The sequence below is a fragment of the Homo sapiens genome, chromosome 2, assembly GCF_000001405.40.
Source record: "Homo sapiens chromosome 2, GRCh38.p14 Primary Assembly".
Taxonomy (NCBI): domain Eukaryota; kingdom Metazoa; phylum Chordata; class Mammalia; order Primates; family Hominidae; genus Homo; species Homo sapiens.
The window spans coordinates 181,806,044-181,817,234 of NC_000002.12; the positions used below are offsets into that span (position 1 = coordinate 181,806,044).

Below are 11,191 nucleotides of genomic sequence, written 5' to 3' on the forward strand. Positions count from 1 at the left end.
GACTGGCCTCTGCTTGCTTTAAATATAGACTTCATGGATGCAGCAAGGAGGGTCTGAAGTTTACAGGGAAAGGCAAGGATTTTGTAGCTCTTAGGAGCTTCGTTATTACCATCAGGTAGCTGCCAAGCTCAGCCCCCTTTTGCTTGGCAATCAGTCTGAGTACTCTTTCCCCTCCTGCCAACTTGCCCAAGGAAGGCCTGAGCCACATGCTACTAAGTAACAATTTGCCAAATATACTAATTTCCTTTTGGTTATTTGTCCTCTAGAAGCCCAGCATTTCTGAAATCACTAAAACTTCACTGTGTGGAAACTATCACACACACATTTATTTTTGCTTCTCTCTTCATTACAGGGATAGGAAAGTGCATATATTAGGAGAGTTTTACCTCCATGGCATTTGCTGCTTTTACGCCATTATGTAGTGATAATAGTAGAGAATATAGGCGGAAGAAGAAAGCCCCCCTCCCACCAAAACAAACAACATTATTAAAAATTAGCCCTTGCAGAGAAAAAGAAGTGCTTATACACTGTTGGTGTGTAAATTAGTTCAACCATTGTGGAAAGCAGTGTGACGATTCCTCAAAGAGCTAAAAACAGAACCACGATTCAACCCAGCAATCCCATTCAACCCAGCAATCCATTCAACCCAGCAATCCCATTACCGGGTATATACCCCAAGGAATATAAATTGTTCTATCATAAAGACACATGCATACGTATGTTCACTGCAGCACTATTCACAATAGCAAAGACATAGAATCAACCTAAATGCCCATCAATGATAGACTAGATAAAGAAAATATGGTACATATACACCATGGAATACTATGCAGCCACAAAAGAGAAAGGGATCATGTCATTTGCAAGAACATGGCTGGAGCTAAAGGCCATTATCCTTAGGAAACTAACACAGGAACAGAAAACCAAATACTACCTCTTCTCACTTTTAAGTGGGAGCTAAGTGATGAGTACACATGGACACAGAGAGAGGAACAATACACACTGGGTCTTCCTGGAGGGTGGAAGGTGAGAGGAGGGAGAGGATTAAGAAAAATAATTAATGGGTACTAGGCTTAATATGTGGGTGACAAAATAATCTGTACGACAAACCTCCATGATGTGGGTTTACCTATATAACAAGTCTTCACATGTACTCCTGAACTTAAGAGTTAAAAAAAAAGATTAACCTTTACTGCATGCTGCCTCTGCACCAGACACTGAGTTAACCATTGCACGTGTATTATTTTAGTTAGCCCTCAAAACAGCTTGAAGAGGTTGGTTTGAGAGATTGGGTGTCTGACAGGTCACACAGTTTTGTATGCATGATCCATCAAACTTACCTTTATCCCATTCTTTAGAATGGGATGGAAACCTACGACTGTCTATTACAGAGTGAAGCTCTTAATTGTGCTACATATTGGCTACCTTTCTTTCCCTGTCCCATTTAGTTTGTGATGGGAATAGAACAGGAGCATAGGAAGAAAATGAATAGTTACAAATCAACTCAGTAGAGAGTAATTAGAATGTGTGTACTGTCTACTTATTGACTGTAAATTGTGATTTGCTAGCGTCCTGGGTTGTGAATGCTTGCTAGCAGGGTTCATCAGTACATAATTACCTAACATTGCTAAATGTGGCCAGGAGAGTCTGTCCTTTGATGAACCCAAGTGTGAGAGAGAGATCTTAGGTTTCTGGATTAAGATTCTTCCTGAGATTTGTAACCTCAAACATTTGGCCAGCTTCCTTACCGTGCATCCCCAGTCTGAACCCCAAAGGATTCTTAGGCAGAATGGACTAGTTCATTAAGCATCTTTCCACTGGCTGTGGGTTTGAGTGCCTATGCTCTGTCCTAAAGCATCCACAACTGATTTCTACTCTTGAAGTCTGGGGGTTAGACATGAGCTGGTCCCGAACTCAGGTAGTGAACTCTGTCTGGCTTGAATCTTCCTATAGGAAGATTATAGGAACCAGTCTAGGAACTGAGTGCTGTACAATGCAGAATTGATTGGCTACTATGTCACAACTAAAAAATGATATCTGGATGCCCTGAGATTATTTGGACCTGTGTTTTCCTTCAAAGAAAAGTAATTTTTATTTGCTTTTTAGAAATCCACTTTTGTTAAATAATAACAAGATATTTTTTAAAAATACAGACTATATAAAAAGAAAACTATAAACCATAGTTCCATTGCCCAAAGATCAACACTAACAGGTCTATTAACATCCAGTCTTTTTTCTAGTTTTATTAAAGAGAAGTGTGTGTATGCATGTGTTTACATTAAAAATTATTTGCACCTTATTAATTGGTCCTTAGTAATATTTGTTGAGTAAATGAAAAATTAACATTAGATTCTGACATTTTTTTCAGAGGAATTTTTAAATACACAATTACAGTGTTGTCCCCATAATGAGATACACATTTCATAATAAAATTATTTACTTTGAATCCAAATGCTATCGTGAGAGTAATTTGGCACCAACAATATCACATTATTAAAAGAATATTAATGTGGTCAGTTTAGTCAGGTGTGGTTTGTTTTTTAGGACTTCTCTGATGTGATGAATATATTACGTGTTGATGGTAATAATGATTGCTAACATATACTGAGTGCTTAGAATACATTAGCAATTAGGAAAATTTCTCATTGCTCTCCATTTATTAACTAATTTAATATTCAAAACAGCCATAAGATTACCTGCAGGTTACACAGGAAGAAACTAAACTAGTTTTCTCCAGGTCACACAGTTAATGAGTAGCGGAACAGGGATATGAACCCAGGCAGTCTGGGTCCAAAGCCTTTGAGTATAGCTACCATACTATAACAGGACACTCTTCCAGGCATATTATACCATGATTTCCCTTTCTGGAATTTTTATGTTAGTTAATCATTAGTCAATTTGAGTATATTTTCACTAGGTATTACATTTAATATACTTTTGAGAGCAAGTAACAGAAAATATTACTCAAACTGGCTTAAACCAGTGGTTCTCAAACTTTAGTCTGCATCAGAATCCCCTGAAGGGCATCTTAAAGCATGGATTGCTGAGCTAGCTCCACCCTGAGTTTCTGATTCTACATTTCTGGGATAGGGCTTTAGATTTTGTATTTGAACAGATTCCCAGGTGAGGCTGATGCTTCTGGTCTAGGACTATGCTTGGAGAAAACTCACTGACCTTAGTCAAGATTTATGCCTTAGGCTGGCTTAATACAATTCTATGGCTCTATTCCTCTGCATCCCTCTTAGCTATTATCTCCTCTGTGTATCTTCCTAATCTTCAAACCATAGCAAGATGACTGCAGCCGTTTTAAGCCTTGAATCTATGCACAAAAGTATCCAACAAAGGAGAACCCAGTTATTTCAGCAATTTTTGTAAGAACAAGGAAATTCCTTTATCAACGACTTTGAAAAATTTCTTTGGGTCTTGACCTACATTAGATCACCTCTCTGTTGAATAAATTCTAATGGACAGGAGAGCTCTGCTTGCTGATTGGCTTAGGCTTAGGTGGAAAAAGAGAACTTTTCTATTTAGTCTTCCTTTCTACTGTTTAGGTTCAAAGCACGTTTTTTAAAAAAGCATTTCCTTTTTCAGGCAAAATCTTCAGAATCTATCTCTGAAAAACTGTAGACTACAAAATGTTACCTTCCCAAGTCAACTTTAAAGCTAATACTTTAAGTTTACATATTAATAGCAATATAACAATATTTACAGTGATAGAACAAATGCATGTATTTAAACAGTGCCTTTACACATACTACTGAACAAGATTTTTCTCCTAAATACCTATCTATATCCAAAGTCTCACTGTAGTTATGAAGAGGTCATTGATTTATATACAGTGCCTGCAAAATGCTACAAGCCGCACTTCACTGCATTGTCCAATTTTATCTGCTTGCCAATCTTAATAATTAGGCCATATTATTATCTATGTTTTGCAGATAAGGGCTATAAAGCATCTATACTATAATAGTACACATCTAATTTAACTTAAATGAATATAACAATTTATTTTTCTTGAAACTGTATAATGTCTACCATGGTAGAATATATAATTGTTTCAGAAATCATCCCTATGAGGTACATATAAAAAATAACCAATCTTGGGCTGGGCACGGTGGCTCATGCCTATAATCCCAGCACTTTGGGAGGCTGAGGCGGGTGGATCACGAGGTCAGGAGATTGAGACCATCCTGGCTAACACGGTGAAACCCCGTCTCTACTAAAAATACAAAAAAATTAGCCCGGTTTGGTGGTGGGTGCCTGTAGTCCCAGCTACTCAGAAGGCTGAGGCAGGAGAATGGCGTGAACCCAGGAGACAGAGGTTGCAGTGAGCTGAGATCGTGCCACTGCACTCTAGCCTGGGCGACAAAGCGAGACTCCATCTCAAAAAATAAAATAAAAATAACTAATCTTAAGGGAGTTATGCTGATGTATGTTGTTTTCATATCTAGTTTAATTAAATTTAAATGTCTATACTTAAGTATTTATTATGTATATTATGTATTATGTATGAAACACACATAATATATATTTATTTTACATATACATACAAAATGTGTGTGTGTGTTTAGAGAGAGTGAGAAAAAAATCTCTTATTATAATGCCTGGCTCATTGAAAGTACCCTATGATAATGTCATATTTTTATTTAATTCAATGTAACAGCTATTTATTGGGGAACTATTAGCTATGAAGTATTGTGCAAGGAAATGAGTAGCTATTAATATATACTGACATTAAACACCGTATATTAAACACCAGGCCCTTTAACATAGGCTCTTCTTAATATACTCATTACAGAGGTAATTTCTCAAGCAAATTAGTCGTGTAACTTGTCTCTTGATAACAGCACGGGGAGTTAAGACTGCCAAAATCAACAGCGTATTTCAAAGGCTTCCAGGTTCTCTGTAACAAAGGCTGAGTAAGCCATGACTCATAATCGGGAAACTTCTATTTGAGGGCCTGATTATCTTTCTTCATATCTGGGGTGTGGGAAAGACTGGTAGCAGTGGGCAGCAGGCTAGGGAGGAGTTCCGTTCTGTTTCCAGGGCCACAAAGGGAGTGAGAAGCACATAGTGAAAGTTCTCCAGAGTAGCTTTTTCTCTTTCAAGGGAGCCCTAGAGACACACAGAGTGATCTGAAACATATTCGGGACAATTGAGTTGTTAGAATTCATGATTTACTGCATTATCTGGTTAAGTCCATCATGTACCATCACCCAGGAGTCAACTAGCCTCTGACTTGCACCAAGCCACTCTGGGTTGCTTGCTGCTTCTGTCTGTGTGTTTTATTTATTTATGTGGGCAGGAGGAGGGGGGAGTAGGGTTGGAGGAGGGAGGAGAAGGGTTAGGGGAGGTATGTTTTTAAGGCCCCATTTTGAACCTGCACATAATATAATTGAAAGAGAACAGTTTTCCAGTTGCGCAGAAACGCATCTAAATTTTGGCTATCATGTACCATTGTGTGGCCTTGGGTAATGCCTTAACATTTCTGAATCACAGTTTCCTGTTGTTTAAGACAGTGACATTATCTGCATAGTGGATTTGTTGTAAAAAATTAATTAGAGTGCAAGTGAAAAAGAGCCATCGCAATGCCTGGCATATAGTAAGCTCTCAAAATGAGGAATAAAAAAAGAAACCTAGTGAGTTGGTGTTATGCTAAATAACCATTATATTTAAAATGACTAAGTAATTTATATCCCAAAGATGTTTTTGAGAATAAAAGGATCACTATTAATAATTAGGTCAGGGCTGAGTGCAGTGGCTCATGCCTGTAATCCCAGCACTTTGGAAGGCCGAGGTAGACAGATCGCTTGAGCTCAGGAGTTCGAGACTAGCCTGGGGAATACAGCAAAACCTCATCTCTACAAAAAATGTGATGGCGCACCCCTGTAGTCCCAGCTACTTGGGGCGCTGAGGTGGGAGAATTCACTGGAGCCAGAGAGGCAGAGGTTACAGTGAGCCGAGATCAAAACACTTCACCACAGCCTGGATGAGACAGCGATATCCTGTCTCAAAAAAATAAAAATAAAAATAAAAATTAGCTCAGAACAACAGACCAAACAAGCACTGTCCTGAGCAAATCTGAAGGCATACTCCTTCTAATTATAATCATGCTGCTCTATTGATGGGGCTAAAGGTAGGAGTCAGAAGTCCTTATTTCTTGAGATCATAAATTTGTAATCACATAACTTTTCTCTAGGTTTCTCTCAGATACTTAATGGTTGTCATTAGATCATGCATACAATATAGTCCGTGATAAGTGATAGGGTAGAGAAAGGAATGTGGATGGCCCAGTTTTCTTCTTCCCCTAAACTGAAAAAAACCTAAATCTCACTTTTTCCCCTAAACTGAAAAAAAAAAAAAAAGAGAGAGAGAAATCTCCCTCTTGCCTGAACAGCAACTGCAAGGCTTAGAACCCACAAAAATACCACTTAGCTCAGACATCAGAGAAATGTCTGTGCAGTTGGTGGGCTGAAGGTAGGGAGGAGAGTTTTCATAAAAGTTTGCTTTGTAATTCCATAATTTAAGCTCATGATCTGGAAAGTATTTCCTCCTTCCTGTTGTTGTGTAATCCAGGATATACTTTTATGATATACTCGATGGCATTCAAGACAATGACTAAATTCAGAGGCAGTGGAATATTGTTATACCTCCTAATTTAAATTCCTATTTTATATGGCACAAAGAGTCCTGCCATTCTCCTAAAGAAACTTTTAAAAAATGGAGGCTAAAAAGAAGAAATGTGATCATTTTAAACACTTTATATTTTGTAAAATTCCAATTTTAAAACGTGGGAAAAGAAATACAATGTATAAAACAGATACATTAAAAATCTGGCATTATCTCTTTATTTTGAATATTGATCCTGAACTGTCTTAACTTTTGCTGTTAAATTCTGACTTTTCTAAGAAATCAAAAGGAGGCACTTTGATCCTTGATCCAAGAAATTGTCTGGGCCTTACCATTTACATTTTAGGAAAGAAGTCTAGAAAAAGTCAAGCTAAAAGGCTGTATGCTACTTCACCTGGCCACTCTCCTACTCACAAAAGTGAACCTGGGCAGATCCTTTATTGGTTCATTCATTCATTCATTTAACAGGAATTTATTATGCTCCTACTAAGTGCCATATTCCAGGCCAAATGCTGGAGATTCAAGCATGGTCATGCCATTTCCAGGCTTAATGTCCAATGAAGCAGATGGCATTGCTGTGAAGAATTATTACTAGAAAACAAGATCAAGATTAATGACAGAGGAAGCTCAAGACACTTTGAGAGCCCACAGTAGTCTATGGGTCAGGGAAGGCTCTCTGAATATGGATCTTTCTCCAGCCGAGTAAGGTGAGCAGGAATTGGTCATTTTATAATAGAAATGGTGTCCAAGGCAGAAGGACAATCTGTGAGGGAGGGGAAAAAAGAGAGAAGTTGGTGTGAGGATCTGAAAATATACAAGTATGGCTAGAATGAGGGCACTCAGTCACCATGAGGCTAAAGAGACAAGCAAGGGCCCAATTATAGAGGCTTTGAAGTCATATTAGGAGTTCAGGGTTTACCCTGTTGATAGCTGGGGTGTCTCTAAACATTGAGCGATTTTATGAAAAAGGTTGACATGATCAAGTGTGCATTTTATAGAGAGAATTCTAGCTTCAGAAGATCAATTAGAGAATGACATAATGGTCAAGATCAAAATTAATAGCAATTTCTACAAAGATGTTGTCATTGGAAATGGAGAAATTTAGGAAGGAATATTAACAGGACATGGTGATTCCTGAGTAGATGGTGATGCCCCTAAATGACATGGAGAATATAAGGAGAAGAAGTGGGTTTAGAAGGTGGTGATAACCGTCAAACAGTTGAATGTGAAATGTCCTTAACATATTCAAGTGAAGATTTCCAACAGAAAGTTGATTTTATGGTCCAAGGGCTCAGGAGGGCATGGTGAACCATATTTAGAGACTGGGGAGTCCTTAGGGTATAAGTGGCCTTTGAAGCCTAGGGAGTAAATGAGACACCCTGAAGTCAGTAGGCAGAATGAGAGAAGAAGCGGGTCAAGGACAGTCTCCCAAGGAACATCAACATATAAAGGAGCAGGAGGGCCACTCTTGTGTTTATCTGGCCCTGAGGTTTCAAAAGGTCTTCATAACAACAGGAAGCATGTGACCGAGATCTAACTGGTGATAAGATGAACTGTCTGATATTATGCATGGGGTTAGAGTGTCAGTCAATATCTACTGGTAGTTCTAAAACTAGATTCCAACTTGAGAAAAACATTTCTTGATGTCCCGTGGAAATGAAGAGGAGTCATAGTCTGACTATGTCACCAATGTTTCTGCAGTTTCTTTGCTTTTCTTTCCCTTCTTTGGTAATGCTCCATCCAGCACATGCTGGCCTGGCAACATTCCAGGTATAAACAGCTTAAAGACTGCTCTCAGTTTATTCTTACATAATATTCTCACTTGTATTATAGAAAAAGGAAGTTTTATGATAGAGTTAGTTGGAAAATAAACCATATGCTTAACCTAGCCATAAACTATACTTAGAAAGACCAAAAATACCTGAAGTGGTAATTCAAGACTCACTTTTCTCAATAATCTCATAAAAAATAAGGAATGCAAAGGTCCTGATAAAAGTTTTTAAATATACACTGACAATGAAATAGATGCTCTTATATTTCTGTTTCCAGTCTGCGTCACATCCACTTACACACACTGTCTCTTCATTCTAATAGACAAATCTTAGAATGAAGGCATGCTAAATCTGAAAAGATCTCAAAGAGAGCTTCTAACTCAAGCCCCCTTCCCACTGGCCCCTTGCCTACTTTCTAGATGAGAAACATAAGATGCTGGAATGATAACACTAAGAACTTTTACATGTCGCTGTATATGTAAATAATAATGTTTACCTTCAAGAGAAAATAAGTTAATCACATTGGCTAATATCCTCAGCTCTCAGAATTGACTATCTGGGTTTGACCTTGGGCAAATTACTTAACCTCTCATTTCCTTAGCTTTTGCACCTATAAAATTAGTTAATGATAGTATCTATTCACAGATGGGAGATAATTCTCCACAGGTTTCTCACATTTTTGCCTGTCTTGAGTGCAGAAACACTGATAATTCTTGTTTCAGACTATATTTTTAAAGATGTTAGTATAGCAAACTGCCTTGAAAGATACATACAGTGTTTTCCTCCAGAGCAAAGGGCTGGTGTGCTGACTGTCTAGCATAATAGAGATAGTATCTCCCTCTGGAGCAAAGGTGAGCATACTTCCTGCCTTTTTGAAATATTTGGGTTCCCTAATCTCAGGGTTTCTGTCCTGTAAGAGTACCATCTCCAAAAGTAGGTGTCATCTGGCCCTCAGAGAATTGGTACAAATGGTGGTACTCTATTATTCTTGATGTGAATACAAGTTGAGCAACCCTAATCCCAAAATTCAAAATCCAAAATGCTCCAAAATCTGAAATGTTTGGAGTACCGACATACCACCACATCTGGGAAATTGCACACCTGACCTCGTGTGATGAGCCACAGTCAAAAGGCAGTAAGAACTTTTGTTTCATGTACAAATATTTTAGAAAATATTTTATAAAATTATCAATTACCTTCAGGCGATGTGTATAAGGTATACGTGAAACATAAATGAATTTAGTGTATAGACTTTGGTCCCATTCTCAAGATGTCTCCTTACATACATCCAAATATTCCAAAATCTGAAAAATCCCAAATCTGAAACACTTCTTGTCCCAAGATAAGAGATAATCAACCTGTAATGAAGTCCTCTGTCTCTGACCCAGGAGTCTCATATCTTTTGTCAGGATCCATGCATTTGTGACAAGCTAGCATGTTAGCTTACAAGTATGGTAAAATCTCAGACTCTTCACAGTTCTTGGCAATGGATTTTGGTTAAGAAATCAGTAAATAAACATAAATTGCTCAGAAGAGTATTTGACACAAAGCAACTAAAGACCCGTTAAATCAGTCATACCCCTTCAATAAGCCACTCAAAAACAGCCTCATTCTAACTGTATGCTCTTGGGTAGAATGTGACATTTTTAAAAAATATATAATATGAAGATAATAAACTTTTATGAATTTTCTTATTTACCTCTCTCCAACTCTCCCTGCCTCACTACTCACACATTTGAATATCATGTTTTCAATTGTGGGAAGGTTAAAATCAATATGTAGTGTGACCAATGTTTGAGTGACAGTGTTTCTAAAAAAATTCAAAGTTTTCTCCATTATCATCAACTCATTTTGTTATTTCTCTTTCTGATTCACTACATCAGCTCTTTTAAAACACTGGTGACTTTTTTTCCTGATGTGTGTTGTATGCTATTTTCAGAGTTCTGTTTTCTATCTGTAAGCCTGTCAAACATAGTAGCTCCATCTTTTAAAAATAATGTTTCACCTTTTCTTTTTTTCTATACTATAACTCATACTTTTGAAAAATCAGCATGACCTTTTTCATTCTTGATCAACACTTAACATAAGAGCCTCCCTGAAGCAAAAGGAAGTAACTAGAAGAGACAATATGCTGAATGATCAGGATGTGGGGCCTAAATCTTGGCTTATACCCAGCTGGTGTACTTGACCACCAACTTTATGTAAGTTTAGGGATTTCAAAATCCCCCATGTCTCCAGATCTTTTGAACACTGATTTGCCATGATCTTTGGTCATTATCAGTTTAGACAGATAGGGGCCTTGTCTTTAGCTGGCCACTGTTAAAACACCATAGTCAAGGATGATGATTATTAGAATAACTACTTATCAACTAAAGCTCCAAGAACATGAGCATTTTACTGTGCAGGGAGAAAACAGGGAGTAAGAAAAGAGTGTCCAGAGTGAGATCTGTATCTGGGCAGAACACAGGAGGACATGATACTAGAGAGGTCTAGAATTTGGCAATGTATGGGAACTTGGAAGGCTTTATTTATTTCCTTATGTGTCCATCAATGGGGAAACTACACGAAGGATGAAAATGATAAGAGGTAGACTCTGCTTTTAAAGTACTTCTAGTCTAGCTGGGGAAATTAATCCCACACAACCTAGGTAGAACACTGTATGTAATTGTGTTTGTGGTATAGACATAACTATACATATTAACAAGGCTATTGACTTTATACAGGACTATTAAGACTTCAAAGAAGGGAGACATTCTTAACTCGGGATTATTGACAGCTTTCTCTGGAAA

At 37.7% G+C, this 11,191-nt stretch overlaps 1 annotated feature.

Annotated features, from left to right (window-relative positions):
* Positions 4,819–5,113: an enhancer, noted in NCBI's record as "tiled region #14191; K562 Activating DNase unmatched - State 5:Enh". NCBI's record gives its function as "activates a minimal TATA promoter and a strong SV40 promoter by Sharpr-MPRA in K562 cells {active_cell/tissue: K562}" and the evidence as "EXISTENCE:reporter gene assay evidence [ECO:0000049][PMID:27701403]".